Source organism: Homo sapiens, chromosome 5 (assembly GCF_000001405.40).
Source record: "Homo sapiens chromosome 5, GRCh38.p14 Primary Assembly".
NCBI lineage: Eukaryota > Metazoa > Chordata > Mammalia > Primates > Hominidae > Homo > Homo sapiens.
Window position 1 is genome coordinate 110,738,145 of NC_000005.10, and position 27,296 is coordinate 110,765,440.

Here is a 27,296-nt window from a genome sequence, read left to right on the forward strand (position 1 = left end):
GGGCTTCCAACGAGTTGAAGGAACATAGGATGAAACCATGGAAGTCTTCCTCAGATCTGGGGAGGGAGCCTGGCCCAAGAGCCCGTGGAGCTAATGAAAACAGGTAGTAGGGGACGCTCTACAGTAGTCCTCTCAGTTATTCAATTAGAGGTCCCAATTTTGAACGATATAACTGGGATTTCAATACCCTGAGTGATTTAGACACATCAGAAAAAAATACGACAGAAAACTATAGTTTCTTTACAGCCTTAGAAAAGGAAAACGCGTAATTTCTAACTCCAGGAGGACAGTATTCGAGTACGTGGGTTTCTTTCACCCCCGACGTGCACTTCAACTTTTAAAATGCTTGCTCTGGTGGTCCACAGTACTTTCGCGTTCACTGGGCGGTACCATATCTCTCAATAGATTTGATCCAAAACCCCAAGTGCGGGAGACAAAGCTAGGTGGAACGTTATTAACCCTCCACAACTCCAACCTCTACTAGCTTCCTCGGAGCAGGCGAGGCACCAGGCCCGTGAGAAAACACTGAGATCTGGGGCGTAGCTGTGACATGGGGTATTTCTGGCCGGGATCTCACCGGGTAGGCTCCACCCGCGGGTTATCGGCTCCCTCCAAGAAGCATCTTTGAACTCCTCCCATGCAGGCCCTATTCCTACACCAGTTCTCTTTCTGGAATCTCTTTGGTACTGTGTTTCATTAATCCCACAACCATATTCCCACCTATTCCCTAACGACAACAAACTTTTAAGGTCCAGGTTACCGCCGCGTCTCCCTAGCAACCGTGCCCTTTAATGGTTGCCGGAAGAGGCTATAATCACGTGCTCCGAAGACTTCCGGGTTTCCAACGTGACTTCCGGTTGTCAGAATTTACCCCTGACGCGGCGGCGGCCGACGGGAAGCTGTGTGTGCTTAGGTCGTGGTGGCCCCGGTGGTGGTGGGCTCCGGGCGGGCTCGCGTCATCCTGCCCCCGCTGCGATGCATCCGCGGCGCCCGGACGGATTTGATGGCTTGGGCTACCGGGGTGGTGCCCGGGACGAGCAGGGCTTTGGCGGCGCCTTCCCTGCAAGGTCCTTCAGCACCGGGTCGGACCTGGGCCACTGGGTGACGACTCCCCCAGATATCCCCGGCAGCCGCAACCTGCACTGGGGCGAGAAGAGCCCGCCCTACGGCGTGCCCACCACCTCCACCCCGTACGAAGGCCCCACGGAGGAACCCTTTTCCAGTGGCGGCGGCGGCAGTGTGCAGGGGCAGAGCAGTGGTGAGAAGCATGGGGACCGACACAGGGATGAGGGGTTACTGGGGCCGCGGCTTGCGGCCTGCAGACCCCGGAAGCGGCGCAGAGGATCCCGCCTCCTATTCCTTCTCATCCTATCGCGCGCCACACCCTTTGCCCTCCTTTGGTCCTCTGCCCCTGAGGCTGGCCTCCTCTTCCTCACAAACGAATTCTCCTGGATCAACTCCAAAAAAGACATCTGCCTTAGCTATGGGGTGCATAGCAGGAATTTTTAGAGGTTTTGGTGTCTCAACTGATGGTCTGAGTTAAAAAGGAGATTGGATTATTAACTGTTCCCTGATTCACTTTGGCAGCTCTATTTTCTTGATTTAATTAATTAATTAATGTGTTTACTTGTAGTTTTGTGTTCTGAAAAGAGAAGCCTTTCAGCATAAGCATACTTGGGTTCAAACTTGGTTGTGCCACTCGTAATCTGAACAACTTAACCTCTGTGAGCCCTCAGTTTTCTCATCTTTAAGATGTGTAGAAGAATCCTGTATGGGACACATAGGCTAAAAAAAAAAAGTTTCCTTCCTTTTCCTTTTTGAACACAGGAGTTTTGTCTGCTTTTCAGATCCCCAGTCTAGAAAGTTTCCTTCCTATAATTTTCCTTTCTGCTTTCCTTCTGCTGACCTAAAAACTACATATAAAAGTTAGAAACACTGATACAATTTCAAGATAGGACTTCGGAATCATGACATAATTATTCTCCATGGGATGTCAGAAAAGCTGCAACACTGCATGATGTAGATATTTTCAACATCCTTTTTTATTCATAAAATGTGAATAATGGCTACCTCTTTCTATTCTTCTGGAATTGTTAGAATAATAGATTAATGGTATTAATATTAAATTTATTGTAGAAATCAGCTTTATTCTTATTTCCTCGACTTTGACTTGGAAGTACAATAATATTTAACTAAGAAGAACAGACTAACGAATGTCTAGTGAGTAAATGAGGATGTGAAGAAAGATAGATGACTTACCTAGCTAATTGTCATACAATTAGCTTTTTGACTCTTCCCGGTTTAAAGTTATGCTTTGGTGGTTACAATGAGGAGGAGTTCCTTGACACAAGCAGGGGTTTATTTTGCAGCCTTAACAGGTGGGTGAATGTTAATTTTGCAACAAAGATAGACACCTAAGAGACTTACACAGTAAACAAGATTAAACCTTCCTAACACCTTCCAGAAAATGCTAGTAGCATTTTCTGTTGCTATTTGGGGATGATCTATACATACAAAATGGGTAAGGCCGGGCGTGGTGGCTCACGCCTGTAATCCTAGCACTTTGGGAGGCCAAGGCGGGCGGATCACGAGGTCAGGAGATCGAGACCATCCTGGCTAACACGATGAAACCCCGTCTCCACTAAAAAATAGAAAAAATTAGCCGGGCGTGGTGGCGGATGCCTGTAGTCCCAGCTACTCGGGAGGCTGAGGCAGGAGAATGGCGTGAACCCGGGAGGCGGAGCTTGCAGTGAGCCGAGATCGCGTCACTGCACTCCAGCCTGGGCGACAGAGCGAGACTCCGTCTCAAAACAAACAAAAAAAGGTAAAATCTAAGGTAAAAGTACCGTAGGTGGGTAAAAGAAGCTTTCTATTTAGCTTATACATTTTTCTAGGGTAAACTGCGTAATTTCCCAGGAACATGCTTAGGTGGCCTTGTTCTGATTGAAAGGGAATAGTGAGGGCAGTTGCTTCACTTGAAAGAGAAGAGGAGAGAAAGAATTGTAACTTGTGAATATTGTATTATAGTTAGAATTTGATGTCTGGTCCCCTGGGGTTGTAATAGTTCACCACTATGACTTTGAGTTTAGTCAAGAAGAAAGGCTTTTCTCTTTTGACATATGCATAGGAATGTTCCCAGCTGTGAACTTTTCCAGTAACATAACAGACATACCATCTGTAGTAGCATTTAGGTATCCAGTAACCTACTCCAATTAATTAAACAGCTAGCCTCAAACTATTTAAAACTTGAAGAGATGGGGGAGAGCTGTATTTACCCATTTTGGTTATCCCTAAGTACCCTTTCAAGTTAATAATTTAGAGGTGCTTTACTTGTAGTTATTGGTTTAATAAAGTGCTCTCCGTCAGTAACAGTGAATAACTAGTTTTACAGCATAAGAGGTAAAGTCGCAGGTGGAATATCAGCTGCGGCCAACCATGGAAAATTTTTTATTTGATTGGAATCAGAAGCTGAAAACTGGTAGCCCTTAGGTTCTGTCCGGATATTTGTTTCATTAGGCCAAGACAATGTGTTAACAGTTTTTGAAATAGTTGTCCAGGACTTTAAAATTGGAAGCTTTTATATAAAATGAGAATATCTTTTTTTGAAAAAATTACAACTTCAAAACCCTGGGCCCACACTCTAATGTGGCAACAATGAATTGGAGTGAAAGCGTAATTGTGCTTTAAACACTCTACACCTTGCAATTTGCCACAGACCCCAGCAGAGTCCTTCATTCATTTAAATTATTTACCTGGCCCCTATCAGAATTTGACTTTGAGGTTTAAATGAACAGCAGGTTAATAAAATAAATTTTTTAAAATTGTTTTGAGACTAAACCTAAATTGTCAGTAATTGGTTATCAGTAATCTTATTTTTTTATTTCTATTTTTTTTTACTTTAGAACAGCTGAATAGATTTGCTGGATTTGGTATTGGACTTGCAAGGTAATGTTTTATCTAAAGACGTTTACAGCTTTTATTTATTGAATTTAGAGTTTTTCTTTAATTTACAATATTAAATGATTATTATTGCTTCCTTTAGGTTGTTTCTTTGAAGCAGCAGCTTAAATTTTGAATAATATTTTGCAGAAAAAAAATGACCATTATTTAAAATATATAATTTGATAGTTTTTCCAGTAAGGATAGACTAGTCATCCAATTTTATAAACACAAAGTAATTTTGTAATGAGTATTGTAACTGTTTTCATGGGTCTATCCAAAAAATAAAATGAAGTGTAATCTTATCTCTCTCCCATCAAAATAATAATTTAGAATGGGGTTCATGAAGATCAAATGGCTCTGCTGATAAGAACTTTTTTCATAGGACATTTTCTGAAAGAAAAATTACATGGCATTTAATGATGCCATGTAACTGACGTGTCATTTCCCACATCAAACATACAGTGATCTAGTTTCATTTTATACCGTAGATATTAATATTGTGTATTATATATTGTTTCCCTTACTTACCTGTTTGCAGATCTGGTTTTCATTCTTTTCATGGGTCTATCCAAAGAATAAAATGAAATGTAATCTGTCTGTCTCCCATCAAAAAAGTAATTGTGCATGGAGGCTTCTTTCTAAACACTCTAATGCTTACAAGATATTTAGCAACATAGCATCTAGATTTTGTTCATAATCAGCGTTTGGTGATAGCATTACTTTTTTTTATATCTAACGATCATTTTAAGAAAATCCTTTAGTCTTGATTATTGTGATCCTTAGTGAATACCATTTTCAAAAATATTGGAATTGCACAAAGCTTACATTTCATGCCATAATGATCATTATTTTAAACATTTTAACGAAGAAAAACACCTTATTTGCATAATTAAACCCGAGGGTGTTAATGTCAATATAAATAAAATCTGTGTTTTCCATTCTGCTGGAGTTGTTTTTTGCTTCAATATTTATACTTAAAGCTTTGATTCATTTGATAGACTATTATTACATATAAATATGTGTGCACATGTATGTATATGTCACTCTGAGACCTGAAACCCACAGCTGTAATTGTTTTGTGGGGCACATTCTCAAAATAAATATTTGATACATAAATATTAGTCAATTAACATGGTCATTAAGAATCTTATAATTTAAGATTTATACTTAAATTTATACTTAAACCTTATAATTTAAGTGCACCAAAACCAAACATTTTTAGAATGGGGTTCATGAAGATCAAATGACTCTGCTGATAGGAATTCTGTTATTAGGACATTTTCTGAAAGAAATAATTTGCAGCATTAAATGCCATTTAATTGATGTGCCATTTCCCACATTAAACATTCAGAGATCTAGTTTCATCTTATACTATAGACATTAATATTATGTATTATGTATTGTTTCCCTTATTTACTAGTATGCAGATCTGGTTTTCATTCTTTTCATATTGAATTTCGTTATGGGTAGAATCATTTGCAAACATTTCTAGACATTTTTAAAGATCTATTTAATTTGTTTAAGAATGGAAAACATAAAATAATGCATGATTCTTCAGGCAAGAATAATTTCAGAAAGATACCTGTTGTAAATTTAATTTATCTCTATGTAGACATACATATACATAAATTATTTTTATATAGTCTCTTTACAGAAAATGTATTGGCACATCCTTGCATTGTTCTACGCCGCCAATGTCAGGTAAATGTAATTTCTGTGATCTTTTGAAGCAATACTTCTGACCCTAATATGAAGGGCAGAACTCACATAAATGACATGAAACCAGGTAATTGTTACTTCATGTGAAATGTTCCAAACTTTTTGGTCTCAAAACCTCTTTAAAGTCTTAAAAAAATATTGAGGATCCTAAATAACTTTGGTTTATGTTGGTCATATCTATTGATAGTTACCATTTCAGAAATTAAAATTGGGAAAATTTCAATGCATCTATATAATTCATTAAAATAATAACACCTGTTAGTAAGATAATATGTTTTTATGAAAGTAACTATTTTGCATTTTTGCAAATATCTTTAATATCTGACATAATAGGAGAGAGCCAGTTTCTCTCGTATGCTTCTGCAGTCAATCTGTTGCATCACGTGGTTTTTGAAAGAAGCAAGGAAGTTTAGTCTTGTACACATGTATAGTTGAAAGCAGGAGAGGAGTATATTATATTCTTTTGAGATAATTGTGGGTATTCTTTGCAATTGCACCAAAACTCACTGTGTCGCAGTTTCTTAAAGGTTATTTGCAATGTGAAATCAGAAATCATTTTAGTGAACTTTTTATACTTTGTTACATTAAAAAATCCATTTAACTATACTGCATCTTGAATAGATATTTTTACTTATGCCTGATTCCATGTAATTGTGCATAAGTTATTTGAAAAATATTGACCAATTGAGTTACATAGATCTTCCTGTTGTTAAAACATTTGATTATAAAATATCAAAAAATCATCTTCATTAAAAATACTACTGATCTCACTAGAAAAGTCTATAAGTATTGTCAGCTCTTGACGATGCATATAGATTTTCCAAAATTCTGAGTTTTAGTTGAAAATTCAAACTTATCATTGACAGTAAATACTGTTATTTATTTTTGTTTTAATCAACAATCTCACTTTGTTTATTTTTTAAAATATGTCTGTCCTGAAAGTGAATAGGTATAGTCCGTCAATGAGTTTTTCTAAGTAAAAATGATGTTCCGTGAAAAAAGTGGCTAGTTTAGCTTGCAGTTCTATCATACAAGTGCTTTCCTCATGACAGCAATCTTACTTCCTTATGTAACACACAGGATATTAATTAGAAAGAGGATGTGTACTCAAAGGTCAAGGATTCATAAAATTAACATTTTGTTACTTCATTGTCAAGGATATTACTATATGAAGGTTGCTTTTTTCTCTCTATGGGTAAATGAGGTGAAAAATTACTGTAAGTACGAAAATACAGTTTGATGGTGCTGCCTCAATTTGTGCTAATGAGCTGGGAGTTTTACCTACCATTGCTTTTGTACCATTAGTGAAAATGTCAAGACAGTGAAAAAAGGAAATTATATCTTAGTAATCACTAGGAAAATAATTTTGAACTTGTCAAGCCCCTGAAAGGGTAATGGGGCCCTCAGGAGTCAGTGGACCCCACTTGCAAACTCTGTTATAACCCACTTTTTTTTTTTGTTTGTTTGAGACGGAGTCTCGCTCTGTTGCCCAAACTGGAGTGCAGTGGCATGATCTCGGCTCACTGCAAACTCCGCCTCCTGGGTTCACGCCATTCTCCTGCCTCAGCCTCCCGAGTAGCTGGGACTACAGGAGCCCGCCACCGTGCCCAGCTAATTTTTTGTATTTTTAGTAGAGACGGGGTTTCATCGTGTTAGCCAGGATGGTCTCGATCTCCTGACCTCATGATCCGCCCGCCTCAGCCTCCCAAAGTGGTGGGATTACAGGTGTGAGCCACTGCGCCCGTCCTGTTATAACCCACTTTCTCTGTAAAGTAATGCTTCCTGTATTTGTTAGCTGTTAGAGTTCAAAACAGTATAAATCATTATAAATTAATCTGTTCATGCTTAGCACTGAAAAGTATGTATACAGAAATACCATTAAAGTAGCATTGACTGTATGTGCCACAGAACAGTGTATTTCAGATATATATTTTACATTGTAGTAATATTAACATGGAGATCCAATGGATACATTACATATAAGTAACAAATATATTATTTTTAAATGTTTTATGAAATAATACCATTAGAATGTAATACATTCTAATATTTTATTGTTTCACATAATAAATATTGTTTTGACACTCCCCCAGTTGATTTCATATACCAGTCAGTTGCCAAGTACAGTTTGAAAAATGCTTGCCTAAAATGAACATGAGTTGGGAGATGTAATTCAGTTGTTTAAGGCAAACCAAATATCAAATAAGACCCTCTTTATTATATAGTCTACAGTACTGTGTGTATTATGCATTGGTCTTCAGATTGTATTTATATAACCATACATACTGTACTTTTAATAGGTTATTTAAAGCACTTTTAAGAGTAATTTTGCTTATGTGTAATTTATGTTGACTTTGGAATTAACTTTTGTTTATACTGCAATTCCACCATATTTCTTTCATGGCTCTGTTATTTCTTGACAAAACATTAACAGAAAAAAATAATGAAATATCTTTTTTACAGGTTAATTACCATGCTCAGCATTACCATCTCACTCCATTTACAGTCATCAATATTATGTACAGTTTCAACAAAACTCAGGTGAGAATTTTGTCTGGATTCTATTAAAGGTTTATATAAGTGTCATTTGGGTTTAGTAATCATTAAAGCAAGAATAATTACTTTCAGTTTGGTCAATAAAACATCTTAACTGTTGTAGTAAAACTAAAGTAGCACAACGATATGTTTTTGAATCTTTCAAAATGTAATTTAGCAAAAGTACAATTTAATTTAGCAAAACCACAAAGAGCTGTGCTAAGATGATGTCTCTGCTATCAAGAGGCTCATATTTATTCATGGAGACAAAATCTTTGAAGATTGTGCTGCAGTAAGATAAAGGCAATATTAGAAGTACAGAATGCTGTCAGAATACAAAAGAGAAGTACCTTATCAAAACTGGGCTTGGGCACAGTGTATGGCTGGGAAAAACTTTGGGAAAAGAAAGGCCCGAATTGTGTGCTTCTTGTTGAGAAGTCTGACTCTTCATGATGAGGATAGAGAAAAGGTTTTTAAAGTAGACGTGTGAAGGCAGAAGACAAAGAGAGATCATAATGTTTGGGAATGGATTTAATGGAGTACAATGGGAGCTTGAAGTGGGGGTTGAAGAGTAAGAGAAAGATGAAAAAGTAGCCAGAGAAGTAAGCAGGATCCAGATTCTAAAGCACCTTCTAAGAACTGCACACTACTAGATCTTAAAAGCTACAAGAGTACTGTTGAAGGTGTTTTAGCCATGACCAAAATATCTTGAAGACCTTTGGATTGTTTGGCAATATCTATTAAAATTTAAAATGTACATGTTCTTTCACTTCCAGGAACTTATCCCACATAGATGTGCACATATATATGCAAAAATATATATACAAGGATGTCCTATGACATTGCATATAATAGACTGGAAATGATTAAATGTCCATCACTAGGGTACCAGTGAAATAATTATGGTATATTATGGTGAAACACCTTGTAACCTTTAAAAATAAGAGGGTAGCTCTGTGTATACTAATGTGGAATGATCTCCAGGATATTTTTTATGTTTCAAGATAATACTACCTGTTAAAAATAAGCAAAACAAAAATATTTCTATAACATACACACACAGATATACTTGTATATGCATGGATTATCCCGATAAATTTTAAAACTGCTGCTGAGGACTGGGATGAAAAGGAGACAGACTTTTCAGCTGATACCCTATTGCTTCTTTTTAATTCTATCATGTATATCTATTAATAATATAGATAATATAGATAAATAATAGGAGTATTACTGATGGTATCATGCAAAGGGGCAAAACCAGAGACAGTGAAACTTGTAGTCAAATTGATATAAAGTAATAGTGTTAAGTATGGAGAAGAGCATGGATTTGTAAGATACTAAGGGAGTAGAATTTGTAGAACCTGGGGACTGATTAGATAGGAAGAGTGAGATAAAAATGTTTTCTAGATATATTGTTTGGACACTAGGATGATGAAGCTGCTATCTAGGGAAATAGGAAATACAGCAGAGAAGGAAAGAATTGGTGTGGTATGAGTGAGTATGATTGGGTTAAGTTGTGGATATGTAAGTTTCAAGTTACCTTGTGTCATCCACAGGACAGGACTAGTAGGGAGTTGAATATATAGATATTAGGGATATTTAATAAATTAGTTAATCATTAGGGGTTTTAATTAATAGGAATGTTCTTCTTGGCCTAAGTATAACTTTAAAATGATATAAAATTAATTGTAGTTCTCTACTAATATTTCTATTAGAATAATGTTTTATTGGAAAATGTCTACACAATATCAAGTTTTATTAAGATCTTTTGTGTTTCAGATGTAGGTATTAACAGAAATAACATGAATTTTGTTCAATTTAGGGACCTAGAGCCCTGTGGAAAGGAATGGGAAGTACATTTATTGTCCAGGGAGTCACACTTGGAGCAGAAGGCATAATTAGTGAATTTACACCTTTGCCAAGGTACCATTTTTAGCATTTCTTCAGTATTAGTTTCATGTGGTGATGTGTTTTTAGATGCAGGCGGTACATGTGCAGGCTTGTTACATGGGTATATTGTGTGATGCTAAAGTTTGGACTTCTAATGATCCTCTCATCCAACAATTCTCAATTGTGTAAACATCATACCCAATAGGTAGCTTTCAACCCTTGTCCCCATCCCTCCCCTATTATATTGTTTTAATAATAAATAAAAAATACCTTGAATCTGAAAACTTGTCTGAAGTAACTAAAAGAAAAAACAAAGAATAAAATTAATTATATATTATTAAATTAGTATGTGATAAAGAAAATGTGTCTTGGCTTAGTATCTATTGAGATGTATCTTTCAGCTTCTACTGCTATGTGCCAGCAACTGCCAGCTGAGGAACAAATGTGGGTATGTGAGCAATTCCCGCTCTTTAAGTATTCATTTAATGAAGGAGACACATGTAAGCAAGAAGAGGTAACATGTCCAATGTCACGGGGTTGGACAGTCTAGGTAATAAAAGAAGTGTCTTATGTTTGGAATATTGGGTATGTATGAAATTGAATATCAGGAAAAGAAGCTGAGGTGCTACATTAAAATACGATTGTGCCTTTTTAAGTTTATTCTCTATGGGTTTGGAATGTGTTTCTTTTTTTAATATATAGATGTTCTGATCAAGATATATTCAAATGGCAGTATAAAATAAATGGAGTTGTATAGACAGATTTATGGAGATCTATTGTAATAATCTAGGCGAGGCTGAGAAGGTTCTGAACTGTGGAACAGAACAGAAAGGGATGAGCTGGCTAGACATTTCTGAAGTATAGTCGATGGTCATTATGTTAGCTTGGTAATTGGAGATAGGAGAGAATGAGTTGTCAGTAGTGACTGAGATTTCTAGATTGGAAAATGTTAACCAAGATGGAGAATTCAAGAAGAAGAAAAAGTTGGAGTAGGGAAGAAGATAAAGAATTTATCTTTCAATAAATGAAGTTTGAGATTCTTGCAAGACATTGAGGGAGAGGGACATGTCTCATATTTGGTTGGAACCATGGATCAGAGTAAAAAAAAAAAAATAGAAAATTGAAGCACAGGGAGAGCTTTGGGTATTGTGGCATAAAAGTAGCAGCTGAAGCTTAGGATAGATGAAATCACCTAAGGAGAAAGCATAGATTAAATGAATAAAATGGACCAAGGACAGAATCCTAGGCATACATGTGTGCCGTGTGTGTGTGGGAGCGGTGGGAAGGGGGGTAGTTGGGGGAGATAATGAGAGAAATTAGAGAGGGCCTCAGACAAATTGGAAATAGCATAAGATGTAGGACAATCATGTTCTAGAAACCAAAAATGGGAGAATTAGAAGTGTAGATACATTTGAGAGAGAGGGTAGAGAAATTAGGGAAATTTGCTTTTGGGTCTCTCTTTTCTCTGTGAAGCAGGATACAGGGTTATTTGGTGAAAAAATGATAAGCATTGGGGTTGTAGTAGAAAAGCATGAGAGGAATGATACACATTTGGGACAGTCACAATGATGGGTAACAAAGGAATCTTACAAAGAGTATATGAAAGGAATGTTAATAGGTAATATTGGAAATTAGAAATTTTTAAGGTGCTATTTGGCATTACTCTGATTTTCTATATCAGCACTATATTTTTGTATATCATCCTATCGATAATGTTAAAGGCTTTGGAATGGTTTGTTAATCCAAATTTATTCTCTGGCAAGGTGAATTTTTTGCATTGTTAAAGAAGTGAGATAGTTGAAGGCATAGCTACTAGTGTAACGCATATGCCCAATGTTGGGATTTAGTCCTTACAGGGAAGGAAATGAAAGCAAGAGAAACTGATAGTAAGCTTTTTTCCAATGTGATTGCTTTTGAAGGACCTCGTAGTCTTGAAGTGCCTTAAATAAACTTTGCTAAAACGTTTGAAACAAAACAAAGATTAGAAAGGTCAGCAACATTTGGGCAGCTCAGAGTTTCTTGTTTTATTCTTTAAAAATCTGTATTTCGTTGTTTGGCTAACTATTCACTTTATTGCTTTTATATCACTAGATAAGATCCCAAGTTAGTACTTATAGTCAAATATTCTTGAAATTCTTTAACAAACAATTCTGTAAAAAAATAACAAAATGCAGGAAATTCCATTTGGTAGAGTGAAAAAAATTCAATGCAGTTGTTCCTCATATCTGTAGGGGATTGATTCCAGGACCCCCAGTGGATACCAAAATCCAGAGATGCTTAAGTCCCTTTTATAAAATGGTGTTGTATTTGCATACAACCTGTACATAACCTCCTGTATACTTTAAATCATTTCTTGATTCCTTGTAATACCAAATACAATGTAAATGCTATGTAAATAGTTGTTATTCTATATTGTTTAGGGAATAATGACAAGAAAGAAAAAAACTCTGTACACATTCAGTACAGATGCAACTATCCCTTTTTTAAATAAATATTGTAAATCCGTAGTTGCCTGAATCCATGTATGTGGAACCCATGGATATGGAGGGTTGACTATATTTGCAACCAGAACACTATTGGTTCAGGTCCTGGCTATTCCACTTTTTATTTCTGGGACCTTATGCAAGTAATGTTGCCTCTCTAAAGCAGAGATGAAGGAATAACATTAATTTCAGGCTACAGGGAAGAAAAAAGAAAAATAGGAATGGGAAGGCATAGGACTTTATAAAATTTTATCATCTAACTTTCTTACTCAGTAGACAGACATGTCAACTGAGTGGGAATATATTTTCATCATTTTGAATCTTTCCAAAGAAGACAAAATAGTAACCTCTATTGCATTGTTCTACTTGGATAATTTTGGTGATAAGGCCCACTCATTAATTCATTCATTTACTTGGCTAACATTTCCTGAGTACTTACTATGTGCCAGGTTCTGTGCTAAAAACCGGGTTTACAGTGAGGAAAATAAACAAAAGGTAACTGTTGCCAGGAAGCTCAGAATCTAATAAAAGTACATTCACTAAGAACAATAATTCCATTAATGAATAATTGCAAATTGAAATTTGTTTTCTGAAGCAAAAGAATATAGTTCCATGAAAGTATTAAAGGGCTAGAAACAGTGTCCCTAGTAACATGACACTTAAGGTAGATCAGAGTGGTAATTAGGAGGTACATACCAGTTTGTACAAAAATGCTGTTGCAGTGGGGAGCCTAGAGAATTCAGGTGTAACTGAGAGAAGCCTCACATGGCTGGAGCTCTGGCCAAGGGTAAGGGTACAGAGCAGGTGGGAGCCAGAACATGTGTGGCCCTGTAGGCCATTTTAAGAATATTGAAGAGGTTCAGTAAGGTCAGTGACATCAGATTTGTTTTCAAAGGGTCATTGTAACTGTAGATGAAAAGGTTGTATGAGGACCAAAGTGAATAAAAGGAGACATCTTAGTATTCTATTACAATAATAAAGGTAAGAAAAGATAGTGGCTAAGATCAGGGTGGTATCTTTTGAGATAGAGGTAAGTGGACAGTTTTGAAATATACTTAGGTCAAACTGAGGGAATTTGGTGATGCTTTAGGAATGGTAGATCAAAGAGAAGGCAGTATGAAGAATGACTTCTTGTATTTGGGCTTGTGTAACTAGTTGTCAAATGAAGCTGTTTTTTTGAAGTATAGTGTGAATATCTTTTAAAAAATTATTTATTCTTCTTTGGGCAGATTTGACCTTTCCTATTAATGGGAAGAAGGCAGAGTTTGTTTCTGTATCCTATTAATGGGAAGAAGGAGCAAACAAGGTCACAAAACATTAACAGCAGTTCACAGAAGCTACTACATGAGGAGGATGAGCTCTGAGGTCTCCTAGCCTGGGGTTTTTTAATTGCGTAACATTTACTAGGTAGAACAGGGGAGATAGTACAGATTTGCCAATATTTAGGGGTTTTTAAATACAGTTTATGATCAAATCAAAGAGAAAAACAGCAGATCTCTAGTGTTCATTAAGTCAGCAAATTTATAATTTCTCAGTAGTATTACTTTTTAACAAATTATATATTAGCCAGGATCGTCATGTGTGATCTCTTTAGCAGTAGATACTGCTAAACCCTTCCCTGTTCTCTCTCCCAGTTGCAGTGAGTTAAACCATGTGTCGTTCTACCCCCACAGTACCCTTTACTTAATTTACATGTGGCTTTTTTCAGACTGTTAACGCGAGGTAGGAGTTCCTGTAACCAAGGCTACCTGTGTGGTTCAGTCTCTCACAAAACCCATTTGGTTCAACTCCAACTTAGTTTTGACTCATCACACATCTGTGGTTATACCACTGTAAACATCTTGTAGTTTTCCTCCAACGGTTCCCTCCGAATTTGCTTATTTTAAACACACGTTATTTTAAACACAATGAAATCTTCCTCAAATTCAATAGATTTCCTTTCTGATTAATAGTTCCTGAGTAGGGAACACTGAAAGAGTTTAAGTAGAAAAGAAAGATTTTAAGTTGGACTTTAGTACAAGTGCATTTTCAGATCTTTTATCATATCCAGATGGAGTTGTCTGTAGGCACATGATATGGGGCTGGCATATAAAGAATTCTTAACTGAAGGTAAATTAATTTGGGAGATTTTGAAGCTCTAACCCTAGATATGAGCGTCGCTAGGGAAGAAGGATACACTATGGTAGAAGAATAGAGTCTGAACCTTAGGAACTCCAACCAAGGGGTGGCTGGGTTAAGAAAGGTGGTCTTGAAAAGGAGTCAGGAGAGACCAGAAGGCAGGATAAAAACCAACAGAATGGGCTAGTGGAGCACAGGGGCAAAGAGTGCTTCAAGGAGAGAAGAGGCTCTGATGGCTGCTGAAATGTCAAATAAGGTAGAGACTTAAAAATGTCCATCAGATTTAATGACATGCAGATTATTGGAGACTTTGGTAAGAGCTGTTTTTGTTCAAAACCAATTTGAAGTGGGTTCAGAGGTGAGTGGGAAAGTACAGACGTGGAAACAGAAAGTTTAGATGGTTGGCTCTGACTAGGATTGATGAAGAGAGGTAACTGGAAGATGAGGGGTTTAGAGTAGGTTGGGGTAAGTTTTTTTTTTTTTTTTTTAATTAGGATAGCTATTTGACCATTTGAAAATTAAAGACTGCTGAGACAGAGTTATTTTAGAATTTTATTGCCTTTTTTGTGTTGATTATGCATAGGAGTATGTGTTTTGATTTGTTAAATGAAAAACTAGACTGTTTTGAGAAAAGCAAGGTACTCGAATAAATTTTATTAATTTTTTCGTTCATTAGGGAGGGCATTTTTTGCTTGGAAATAGATAATTTAGATATATTTACATGTTTGGTATTTGATAATGAATTATAAAAAGGTTTAGTGACTGAAGCTTTTAAGTATGCTTATTTAAATTTCTAGAGCTGTAACAGTAAATTTTACCCATTTTATAAAGTAGTAGAGAACAGATACAAAGAAGAGTCCCAAAAGCATTTTTTTAAATACTTGGTTTTAAGTCTCCTTTTATCTTAATGATCTTAAGAATTGGCAGTAGTCATCAAAGGGGAGGTAACTCAGAATTGACATTGTATTTAAAGGGGAGGCTACCCAGTCCTAAGTGTTTACCACAGTTTCATACTTAAAATTGGTGTCGTCATAAACTGTGGTAATACTTTGTGAGGCCATGAGTATTAGCTGTGCCAAGATGATTTACAAAGCATGTAACGTATTTTGTTTTATAATCATAAAGTAACTTTCAGTAAGATGGGAGGCCTAATCTATTTTTTATATTTTTCGACTTAATCATTGAATAATATGATTTCAGCTACATTGTGTTGTTCAGGCCAAATAAATATCCTAATAGTAATTTAATCAGAGTTCGGCCCAGAAGGTGCTCTAAGGTCTTAGAAATCGGGGGTAGTTGCTCTATTGTCTGAAAGTCTCTGATGTATGTATATGCTGTTGTTTTTCAAATTCAGTCATGTGAAATAGAAAATGTTTATCTAGATTCCTGCTGTAGCCATAGCCATGATGGAATGAGTACCCATTCCATCAGAGAAACTGTTGGTAGCAAGTCTTATCTTTATTTTGCACTTCCCTTTCTGTTTTTTTTTTCTCTTTTTCTTTTCATTTTTCTTCTATCTCCCCTGCCTTTTCATTTTTTTCTTCTTATTTACTTTCTTTTTTTTTCTTTTCTTTTTTTTTTACCCTCTATAATCTTGACTCTTTTTGGACTTTTCTCTTGATAGAACTTACTCCCTTTTTTCACCTTTGGTTCTATTTCATTTCAGCTTGCCTCCCTCCCTCCCTTCCTTCTTTCTTTCTTTTTTTTTTCTTCCTTCCTTTTTTTTCTTTCTTTTCTTGTTTTCCAAAGGTAACCAAACTAGCAGACAGAATGCACAAAATCCTACACCTTGGTTCCAGACCTGGCATTTTTGCCTGTTTCCTTTGAACATTTTCCTGTGATCTTTTTGACCCTGATTTTTCTCATCAGTAAGACAAGTGTGACAATATCTGCTCTGCTTATCTCACAAGGTTCTTCTTTGTATCAAATAAGATGAGAGGCAGTACAGGCAGAGAGTACCGGGGTTTAGAACAGAGTTCCACACTAACTGGTTACTTGGCTTTGGATGAGTTATTAATCCCCTCTGATCCTATCTCCTCATCTATGAAATGGAGAAAATAGGGTTATTATGAAGATTAGAAATAGTTCATGCAAAGCACTTTGCATAGTCATGGCATTTAGTAGGTGCTCACAAAGATAATAGAATATAATGGTCACAAAATTATGTAATTGTACTAAGTAAAGATAATTCAGAAATTAGGTACTACATAAATGTAATGTGTCAGCCTGCATTAGAGTTACTTAACTTTTTTAAAAAATTGTCATTCTTATATACTTTGTAAAGCCTTTTTTAATCCTGTTCTTTGTTTCCATATCTATTCTCTTTCTTTTAACCAATCATCTTAATTTTCTTCCTTTAATTTCTCATGTTTACTTTCATAATCAGTTGTGCCTCTTGCTTCTCTGCCAGCCCCTTCTATCAGCACGTATGAAAACACCTTGTATTTTTTTCTCTCAAACCATCACAGTTGTTTACACTGTGTTCTAGAAAAGAAAATGTTCACCATTAGAATATATTTCTCCTACAGATTGAAAAAAATTAGAAGTTGATTACTGTTTTGAAAATTGGGCTAATTCCAGATGTTTTAAATAACATGGCTTTTGTTTTATTTAAGTTTATTTTTATGTTTTAGGGAGGTTTTACATAAATGGAGTCCTAAACAAATAGGAGAACACCTTCTACTGAAATCGTAAGTATCAAAAAATGGCATTTTTATTGGGCATTTTCACTAATTTTTATAGTATTAGAACTGGAAACAAATCTTATTAAATAACTGTAGAGAAGGAAATTAGAGCAGTGAAATGTTGGTGGGACTATAACTTCAAAGGACAAAGTAACACAGAGTTTAGGAATAAATCCTGAAATATATATTATCTTTAAAATAAATTCCTAATTTGAAAGGCTAGAATCACAGACTAATTTTGTGTATGTTTTCTTAGGAAGTTAGCATAGGTCTTCAATTTATTTAACCCAGATTTTCAAAGAAAGTATAACTATTTTATTGTTAATCAGAGATGCAAATGTATTTGTATGGTGATAAGCAAACCCAAAAAACCTTAGTGACATTGAAATGTAGTCCTGAAGGCACTTAGTGATTTTACAACGGTAACCATTTTTGTAGATTAGAATTTTATTCTTCACTTTTTAATTTTTTTTTTTGAAGATTGTGAATTGGAAATCCCCCAGCTTGCTGGCTCCCTCAGTGGGACATTCCAGCACATTATTACTTAGTGATGTTCCATTCACCTTGAAAACCACTACTTGCCAGGACCTGGCCCATAAGGGTTAGGTAAGTCCCACCTTGATATTATTTTGAATAACTATATTTTGCAGGCTTGCAAAGTTGTAATATTACTATGTCTAAATATTGGTGATAGGAAACAACTTTGCAAAGCTGTATAATGTTTTTTTTTTTTTTTAATAATAAAAGGGACTTCACTCACCATTGAAGACTGGCCTAACTCTGCTGGATGGGAAATCTGGGAATTGATATAAGAGGATAGTAACAGAAAAGTTACTTGCTCAAATATCACTAAAAAGGCAAACTATGGAATGGATCCCTCATCCTCAATTTTAAGTTTTAGATTTATAGGCTGCATTAGCTATGTGTAGGTAGATGTCCAATCTATTTTCTTTGCAGGCTGTCCTTGTTTTATCATTTGATTTTTTCATCTCTGTTGAATAAAGCATCCTACGTTACAGATTTCTGAAGTTAATATTTTTAGGCTGTAGGTATTAATAGTTGAAAACCTTAAAAAGATTATTCTAGCTTGACTATAAATTATGTTGACATATTAAAGCAGATATTAAAAAATTTAGTATAAGCATCTTGTTTCAGTATACTGATAAATTTGTTTTAATTTCTATAGCCTAACTTACGTGGTGGCAATGCCTTTTTATTCAGCAAGTCTGATTGAAACAGTGCAGGTGAGCTTTTTTTTACTGTCATTTTTTTTTTATTTAAGAATAGTTTTTTGACTATTCAGTATATTGTAGATATCTAACATTTCAGCAGAAAATTTTAAGACTATGTCTTAAAATATTTATTTTATAAATATCACAGTTATATCGCACGTTGCTTGTCTGTATATTTCCATTGGTATCTTAAGTCACACTTCTAGTTTTAATTATTTTTGTCCTTTCCATAGGCAACTATACTCTTCATTTAGACATCTCAGAACACAGCCTATAACTTGCTCTGAAAACAAAGAATCTATAAACTTTTTAAGGCCCTTACATACAACTCAGATGGTTATGGCTTATCATTGGACAGTAAATTAATAATTACCTGAGAATAAACATGATGGATAATCATCCGAACAGGAAGCAGGTTGTCCCCACAGGTAGTTTACTGACAGGATTCTTTTAAAACATGCCTTTAAGTGACATTTGATACTATTGGGTGTGGTAAATACTACAAAGCTGAAGCAATTTTCTGCTAGCACTTGAAATTCTGTTTGCTTGTGTTACTATTCCTAACCACATGGTGGCGCTTCAAGTACATTTAATTAAATGTCTTACCCTCCTTCCTACACTTAAAACTGTAAGATGAAGGTAGTTTTTACTTCACCTGTATACAAAATCCAACTATTTGTACACCTGTCTTCTATTTCCACATCAGATCCTCTAGCATATTCTTTTCTCTAGTATATGTGAGTGCCCTCTCTGTAAAAACTCGCACTGGATCAGCCTTTGCTCTTCTAATTACTCTTTTCTACCTTGTTTCTTTTCTGGCTGTATCATTCATCTTTGATTTATGATTATTATTATTATTATTTCTGTTAGAACTAACTTCAGTTAACTGAAGTTAGTGTCTTGCGACCCAAATCATACTTTCCCTTCCCCTTGCATTTGGCATTGTGTTAAATAAATGATGAATTTTTGTATGGTGCTATAGAATTTACAGAGTTGTCACTTGTATGAGATAGCCTCATTTTAAAGGTAAGGGAAAAATGTCAGGAAGGTAATTATTTAAGGAAAAACAACTAAGCAGAATGATTTATTGGGGAAAACAATTTTTAGCTTGAGACAGACCCATTATCACATTTCTCTGCTTAAATTAGACCTGGGACTTTAGACAGATTTCTTAACCTTTATAATTTTCTTATCCATAAATTGTGAATAGTATTTTAATAACTGACGTGTAACATTGAATGAGTTATTTATATAAGTGCCCGGCTCACTATGTGATAGGGTTTTTTCTGTGTATGTGTTTTTTTTAACCCAGTATTTACTCCTTGTTTCCTGCTTCAAGTTCCACTTGCTAACTCCTTTTGATCTCTTTTGTCTGCTTTTCTAGAACTCTTTTTTCTTTAGATTTCTCTCTCTTGAACATCTTTTTTCAATAATGCCTTTGCCATCTCTTGTCTTATACCTTAAGGCCCAATCCTTGACCCTCTGTTTTTTATCCTATACTCATTATTCTGAAAGAGCTAATTTATTCACAGGAATCATTAGCTCTAATCTCATGTGAGTTAAATCTTCAGACTCAACTTTTAAAAACAATCTCATCTGTCCCTCTAAAAATTAGCTTCCTTTAGAACCTCTTCTCCTTGGCAATATATTAGTGATACTATTGTTATCTTCACACTAAAGATTCAAAACTTTAGTTTTTGTTTTAGGAAAGTTTTTTATTTTTACATTTCTTTCATCCTTCATAATTACCCAGTCATCATGAACTTTGTAGTTATCTATTTCTTCATTAAGAATCCTTGAGGCCTAGGTGGGCGGATCATGAGGTCAGGAGTTCGAGACCAGCCTGGCCAACAGTGAAATCCCATCTCTACTAAAAATACAAAAATTAGCCGGGTGTGGTAGTGGGCGCCTGTTGTCCCAGCTATTCAGGAGGCTGAGATGGAAGAATCGCTTGAACCCGGGAGGCAGAGGTTGCAGTGAGCTGAGATCACGCCACTGTACTCCAGCCTCGGTGACAGAGTAAGACTCTGTCTTAAAAAAAATAAAAAAGAAAGAAAGAAAGAAATCCTTGTACTAGTCTCCACATTTTAAAAGTCAATACTCATACAAGATTGTTTTCAAGTTGCAATACTTATATATATCCTTTTACTGATTAAGGATTCATATTGACTCATATTCCCTAAAATCAACTTCAGACTTCTTATTATAGTTTTAAACCAAGGTTTTAATTACATCACTTTACCTTTCAGATTTGCAGATTATCTTAACTGCTAAACTTTTAAAAAAAATGTATCAATTGTTTATTGAGTACTTGCCTATATCAGGTACTGTTATAGACCCTGGGGATACAACAGCAAACAAAACCAAAATGCTCTGTTCTCATAGCACTTATATTCTTATGGGGAAAGTAGACATAAACAACTAAATAAAAGGTATATTTCATGGCGATTAACTGCTAAAGAAAGCAAAAATAAAGCAAGGAAGGCAAATAGGATGTGTAATGGGTAGGGAGGGGCGGTTAATATTTTTTTAAGAAGATAAGTAAAGGTCTCACTGAGAAGGTGACATTTGTGTAAAGATCAACATGCATATTTGGGAGAATATTCTAAGTAGAGGGAAGGCAAGTGCAAATGCCCTTACATGGGACTGTGTCATGTGTGTTGTATCATACATGCTTGAGAAGTAGGAAGGATGCCGATGTGGCTGGTGCTAACTAAGCACAAAATAAGCAAATGTTGAATTGTATTTAGAGGGAAAGCAGGTGCAAAAACTCTCAAGTGGGACTGTGTCATGTGTGTTGTATCACACATGCTTAAGAAGTAGAAAGGAAGCTGTTATGGTTGGTGCTAAGTAAGCAAGGGGGGAATACAGGAGATGAGGCCTGAGTGGTAAGAGGGGACCAGATTACATAGGACATTGTAAATCATTGTAATAATTGGGCTTTTGTTTGAGAAGGATGGAAAGTCTTTGATAGGTTTGAGCAGAGCGGTGGTGTGATCTGACTTACATCTTTATTAGGATCTCTTTGACTGTTGCATTAAAAATAAACTGGAGTGGGAAGGATGTCAGGGTCAGAAGTAGGAAGATGGATTAGAAGGCTAGGCAAGCTCACTGTCATCTCATAGTTTTAAATATCATCTATTTACTAAAGACTCCCACATTTATAATACAGTGCTCCTCCACTCACGATGGGATTACATCCCAATAAACCTGTCATAAATTCGAAAAATCTTAGGTTGAGACATCGTAAGTTGGAAACCATCTGTAGGTCCATTGTGTACCTTTTTCTGTAATTTCTATTGTGAACTCCATTTGGAGTTAATTTACTTAACATTTCTGAACTCTTGATCTTCACCAAATTGCTACTCTGGCAATTTTTCATCTCAATAAAAGGCAGTGCTATTCCCCCAGTTCCTCTGGACAGCAACCTTGGGGTTATCCTTGACCCTTCTCTTGCATACCCCAAATGCAATTCACCAGTAATTCCCATAGACTTTGATTTTAGGATAAAAGCACAATTGAACCACTTTACTTCTGTTGCCACCTTCTAGTCCAAGCCACCATCATCTCTTTGTTACTGGAATCATTCCAGTAACTTTTGAACTGGTTTCTCAACTGATCTTGTTCTCCTTTGCACAACAGCCAGTATTCTTTCAAAATACAAATTATGTCATGTCCGTCTTCTGCTTAAAATCAACCAGTTATTTCCCATCTGACTAGAAGCCAAAGTCTACAGATTAGTCTCTAAGGCATGATATAGCCCCTGGCTACCTTATAAATTTCATCTGCTACTTTCCTGCAGTCATTGCTGCAGCCAAAGTGCCTTTTGGCAAGTTCTTTTCTATCTATCTATACCTCGGTAATCCACATCAAACTTTCTTATTCATATCCCCAAAATTCTACAAAAGCAGACATTGCAGGTGGTAATAAGACTAACATTTATTGAGTGACTCCTGAGTGCCAAGCCTTTTTTCATTTAATATTCACAACAACCCTGTGCATAAAAAGTAGACAGTGCTCATTTCCATTTTTGTAGAATGCGAAACTGTGCTTAGGAGAAGTTAAGTAACTTGACAATGGTTACATAGCCAGTAAGTAATGGAGCCAGGATTTAAACATGTTTAAGAACTATAAGCACTATATTGTCTCCTTAAGCGTTACATAGTTATTGCCTTTCCATGTGAGTTCTAAGAAGTTTCTTGAGATGTATCCACCTACACATCTCCCCAGTCTCCCTACCCCAATAAGATTAGCTCCCAACTTCACTGCTAGCAATTTTATGAGATTTCATTTGAAAAAAAATCTGATGCCTAGATAACAGTTAAAGTCTGCAAATCATGGATGTTTCCCTCTTCAGTCACTATGTTAGGATTTAAAAGGAACCTAAAAAGAGTCCTTTTTCTGTGGCAAAATAAGCAAATGTTAAGTTTTACTTATTTCATCATTTTTATTTCAGAGTGAGATAATTCGAGATAATACTGGCATTTTGGAGTGTGTTAAAGAAGGAATTGGAAGAGTGATAGGCATGGGAGTGCCTCATAGCAAACGACTTCTTCCGCTTCTTTCCTTGATCTTCCCTACGGTGCTTCATGGAGTTCTTCATTACATCATCAGCTCAGTTATTCAGAAGTTTGTCCTACTAATTCTAAAGAGAAAGACTTACAATAGCCACCTAGCTGAGAGCACTAGCCCTGTGCAGAGTATGTTGGATGCTTATTTTCCAGAACTTATTGCTAACTTTGCTGCCAGTCTTTGTTCTGACGTTATACTTTACCCATTGGAAACAGTTTTGCACCGCCTTCACATTCAAGGAACACGCACAATAATTGACAATACAGACCTTGGCTATGAAGTGCTTCCAATTAATACACAATATGAGGGAATGAGAGACTGTATCAATACCATAAGGCAGGAGGAAGGAGTGTTTGGTTTTTATAAAGGGTTTGGTGCTGTTATAATACAGTACACACTGCATGCAGCTGTTTTACAGATTACCAAAATTATTTACTCTACACTTCTTCAAAATAACATTTGAGATTTAGGTTCCTTCACTGAGTAGTCTGGAAGATATAATCTGGATAATTTGCTATGAAGTTATGAGGGATACAAGTGAAATACTGGGGAAGAAAATGGATTGGAAAGTAAAATTGGTACTAAAGCCCATACTGATTATCTTGACTTTGTTTTTTAAGGCATAGGTATATATTTTGGATCAAAATCCTTCCAAATTTGAAAACTCAATAAAAATAACACTTATTAAATTCTAGTTAGTGTAGCACTCATGCTGAAGTAAACATGATCGTAGGCAGAAGCAAAATTTTATTATAAAATCTAAAACAAAACTTTATAGAGTTGAATCTATTCCATCTGACTTCAATATTTGCCAAACGTTTATTTTACCTCCTAGATTGATGTTGGTATAGTATCCTTAATACAGTGTAGTATATTAATGTCCTTAATACAATCAGGAGGTTTTTACCTTTAAGCAAATAAATTATGTCATTATTGAAAAAGACTTAAGGGATGATTAGACTTGGCAATCTGTAAGCAGGAGTATAAATGTTTTAAATTGCATTGTCCCTATGTAACTATCTTAATGGCTATATATATGTATTTTATAAAGCCATTTATGTATACACATGTAACTTGGAATTTCCTTCATCCCTACACATTTTCTACACTTACATCACCTTATTGCATAAAACAAAGTCACGCGCTTTCTGCTTGAACATCAAAATATCAAAAACCAAGGTACCCAAAAGATACAAGTCAGAGACAACATCCTTGTCCATATCCAAACCCAGTGTTTCAGTGCTAGCAACTTAATTTCTCATACATTTATAGAGTTTGGTTTGCTTTGCTAGTTGTGTGAATCATTGGGCTGTTTTTAGAGCCACTGTTAAGAGAGAATATAAAATAATCATGACAATTACTACTGTTTCCACATTTACAAATTGTGTACTTAAATGAACCTCATTTCCCTTTTATTTCTGAATGGCTTGTCTGAGAGGAAACAAAATTAAAATTCATCTGGGAATTTGTGCCTCTTGTCTAGTATATAGTCACCACTAAATAATGGCTTCCGTTTTTATTTTCTTTCAGGTTTTGCTTTAAATTTTGTTTTCCAAAATAGATGTACGTGGAGGGAAAAGCAATTATTCTTATCACCTTTTATTTAAACTTCTTTAGATGAATACTGAAGAAAAATCCAAACCTTAAAGGAAATGTGCCCTTGTATTTTATGGGTGAGGGGAAAAAGTACATTTGTACATTTCAACATATAATAAGCAAAAAAATTACTAATCAGTTTAATAAAAACATTTTGTCTATTCCTAAATGTAATTTGGTGGGTTAAGCACTTTGTGTAGTAAAATGATATGTGTCTGCTCTATCATTAGACATTTTAAAGTTTCATGTCTTCACGTGAATAATCACAGTTGTATCATGAACCATTTAGCGCTCTGAAGCACAGTGACTTTGCACTGATATTGTCCAACCAAGAATGCATACGAATAGAAATTCATTTTACTTGCTAAATGTCACAGAAATGGTTACTTTTTGCAAATAGTAGTGTTGGAACAAAAAAGTGATATCCAAAAAGTGTAAAAACAGTAATAAGTAGCAAATCTCTCGTGTGTGTGTGTGTGTAGTTACTGAAACACCTACATTTTCCATTTTTAAATTCCACCAAAAGGGGGAAAATAAAATTAAACACCACTGATCACATTTTATATTTTATGGTGACTATTTTAGATTAAGGTTTACTTTGTCCAACCAATAGCATTTAAATTGTTTTCAATTAGGATAGTTTCAGATAAGAGTAAACCAGAAAATTTCAAGTTTGAAAAATTTCTAGAAAAGAATCTGAATAGAATCAAGTATTTACTAGTGAAAATCTGTAGGATCCTTTGTTTAGCTAAAAATTAAATATTTCAGGATATTTTTTGGAAGTTAGCATGAAAATAGTTAGTTACATAAATTCATTTTATTGTAGAATAATTATAAGACTGATAGGCTGAACCATACACAAATAAGGTTGATCTTGTTTTCCTTTTTGGAGAAAGAGAATACAAATTAACATTAAAATTGAAATGTAGAAAGTAAAATATGAATAATTTTTTACAACCACTCCAAATTAGTTGAAACAAAATCTTGAACGGTCACGCACTTAAATTTAAGCTAGCCAAATATGTTGCACTGAATTTTGAAAAGAATGAGTGAGATAACTGTAAGATACGCTCGTTCCCTTTTAAAAATTGTTATTTTTCTTTAACATGGGTGCCAAATCAAATATCCATGGGCTATACTTCTTAAGATAATAACAGCTCAAAATAATATTTTTTAATTCAGTAGAACTAATAGCATTATGGAAAAGATTCTATTAAATGTTCCACAGGCCCACTGGTCCTCTTATATAAGCCAAATTTTGGCCATGGAGCTTGTGATACACTTGCCTTACATTGTAGGGTTTCTTAATTTGAGTCAAGTACACTGAAAGCAATTAAAAACTGGTAAATATTAATTTACTATGTAAAGTGAACTTACGAATTAACTTACTAAATACATATATGTAGACCTTCCCGAAATGCCATTCTCAATTTTATTTTATGGGCTCCAAAAAAAATTATCTGGGTTAATAAGGTTATCTATTAAAGCCCCCAGAATCTCAGCACTAGATGTCATAAATATGAAATAGTAAAAACAAGGTCACTTGAAAATGGGTATTTAATACCTTAGCTGGTGTTTTCAGAAGCATACAGAACTGGAAAGGTAAGAACTTGCTTACTATTGCAGATATACCTGACCACTCACAACTGTCTTTTTAGCAGCAGCTTTGTTAAAACTGCACAAAGCATTCACTTTATTGATTGAGTACAAATGCTTTAGTGTTTCTACCTAAGTATTAGTACATCTGTTCAGGAAATGGAAAAAAAAAATGCTGCTTAAATTTGTTTTATCAGCTGAGGTTGTGGAGGATTTTTGTCCACTGATCTTTTGCAACAGAAAAGCATACTTTGTCAGCTTCTAATAAGATAGCCAGGTTTGAATTATTTGCAAAATTTATATAAGCAAATAAGATCTCTTGGTAACAATTGACATTGCACTAGAATTTGAATGATACTGTTGTTGGCATTTCTGTTTCTCTTTCAAGTAGTTGTAAATAATCTCTTTTTCTCATATAAACGGAATGCATAATGTCTTACTCTTGAGTCATTTAGTATCATTGATATGGTACCAAGTTGTATAGCAGAGTAACAAAATCATGATTTGACAATGAAATTTACATATTGCCTCACCTAGAGATGTTTTGTCTGTATGACTTTTTTTTTTTTAAGTTTGTCTTACTGTTACTTTAAATGTTTTGGGTAAATTGTGTAATATGAAAAGTTCAATAAAATGTCGAAATAAAGCCACTGTTTTTCTCCTACTGATGTGAGAGAACTATTCAGGCTGGTGGTTAAAGATGAAGTATATTTTTTTAGGTAGAAAGGAAGATCAACAAAATATGTGAAGTTAAACTTTTTTGCACACTATTTTTTAAAATCTCTATAGCCTCCTCACCACATCCCTATGACATTTTTGGAGTTGTGCTGTTTGATTAAGAATAAAATAGATACAGAGAGGAGGTGATTTGTCCTGCATTTCACAACTAGGAGAGTAACAACAGAAAAATGACAAATAGGCAGCTCCAG

The 27,296-nt window shown here is 35.2% G+C and overlaps 2 protein-coding genes across 22 annotated transcripts in view, besides 6 other annotated features; one reads left to right on the forward strand and one right to left on the reverse strand.

Annotated features, from left to right (window-relative positions):
* Positions 1 to 810, reverse strand: part of TMEM232 (transmembrane protein 232) — a 351,524-nt gene extending 350,714 nt beyond the window's left edge. For all 18 annotated transcript variants that reach the window (XR_001742182.2, XR_001742181.2, XR_007058620.1 and 15 more), the window contains exon 1: positions 578 to 810. The gene's annotated coding sequence lies outside the window, so the exon portion shown is untranslated. The remainder of the gene's footprint in view (positions 1 to 577) is intronic.
* SLC25A46 (solute carrier family 25 member 46) lies at positions 1 to 27,013 on the forward strand. Of its 4 annotated transcripts, NR_138151.2 has the most exons (9): positions 863 to 1,258; positions 3,903 to 3,945; positions 5,586 to 5,643; positions 8,125 to 8,202; positions 10,019 to 10,119; positions 17,321 to 17,377; positions 17,852 to 17,977; positions 18,558 to 18,615; positions 23,060 to 27,013. NR_138151.2 is itself a non-coding variant. In NM_001303250.3 (8 exons), the coding sequence occupies exons 1-8, from the start codon at positions 94 to 96 to the stop codon at positions 23,636 to 23,638; spliced, it is 984 nt and encodes a 327-aa protein (NP_001290179.1). In that variant the 5' UTR covers positions 1 to 93; the 3' UTR covers positions 23,639 to 27,013. The 4 variants fall into 4 exon arrangements, 3 of the variants coding, with proteins under 3 accessions (NP_001290179.1, NP_620128.1, NP_001290178.1); NM_001303250.3 differs by lacking the exons at positions 863 to 1,258; positions 17,852 to 17,977 and adding an exon at positions 1 to 103; NM_138773.4 differs by lacking the exon at positions 17,852 to 17,977.
* Positions 446 to 495: an enhancer, noted in NCBI's record as "active region_22884". NCBI's record gives its function as "activates an Ori minimal core promoter by ATAC-STARR-seq in GM12878 lymphoblastoid cells {active_cell/tissue: GM12878}" and the evidence as "EXISTENCE:reporter gene assay evidence [ECO:0000049][PMID:35858748]".
* Positions 746 to 875: an enhancer, noted in NCBI's record as "active region_22885". NCBI's record gives its function as "activates an Ori minimal core promoter by ATAC-STARR-seq in GM12878 lymphoblastoid cells {active_cell/tissue: GM12878}" and the evidence as "EXISTENCE:reporter gene assay evidence [ECO:0000049][PMID:35858748]".
* Positions 886 to 955: an enhancer, noted in NCBI's record as "active region_22886". NCBI's record gives its function as "activates an Ori minimal core promoter by ATAC-STARR-seq in GM12878 lymphoblastoid cells {active_cell/tissue: GM12878}" and the evidence as "EXISTENCE:reporter gene assay evidence [ECO:0000049][PMID:35858748]".
* Positions 2,200 to 2,701: an enhancer, noted in NCBI's record as "H3K4me1 hESC enhancer chr5:110076045-110076546 (GRCh37/hg19 assembly coordinates)". NCBI's record gives its function as "activates a minimal SCP1, AML or CMV promoter by ChIP-STARR-seq in naive H9 embryonic stem cells {active_cell/tissue: H9 hESC(naive)}" and the evidence as "EXISTENCE:reporter gene assay evidence [ECO:0000049][PMID:30033119]".
* Positions 2,702 to 3,201: an enhancer, noted in NCBI's record as "H3K4me1 hESC enhancer chr5:110076547-110077046 (GRCh37/hg19 assembly coordinates)". NCBI's record gives its function as "activates a minimal SCP1, AML or CMV promoter by ChIP-STARR-seq in naive H9 embryonic stem cells {active_cell/tissue: H9 hESC(naive)}" and the evidence as "EXISTENCE:reporter gene assay evidence [ECO:0000049][PMID:30033119]".
* Positions 14,411 to 14,670: an enhancer, noted in NCBI's record as "active region_22887". NCBI's record gives its function as "activates an Ori minimal core promoter by ATAC-STARR-seq in GM12878 lymphoblastoid cells {active_cell/tissue: GM12878}" and the evidence as "EXISTENCE:reporter gene assay evidence [ECO:0000049][PMID:35858748]".

Excerpts from the sequence above, each read along its gene's own strand:
- SLC25A46 (NM_138773.4), top strand. The coding sequence starts at position 976 with ATGCATCCGCGGCGCCCGGACGGATTTGATGGCTTGGGCTACCGGGGT. Across the intron at positions 1,259-3,902 it reads TGTGCAGGGGCAGAGCAGTG|AACAGCTGAATAGATTTGCT; the intron begins GTGAGAAGCATG and ends TTTTTACTTTAG. Across the intron at positions 17,378-18,557 it reads GAACACCTTCTACTGAAATC|CCTAACTTACGTGGTGGCAA; the intron begins GTAAGTATCAAA and ends TAATTTCTATAG.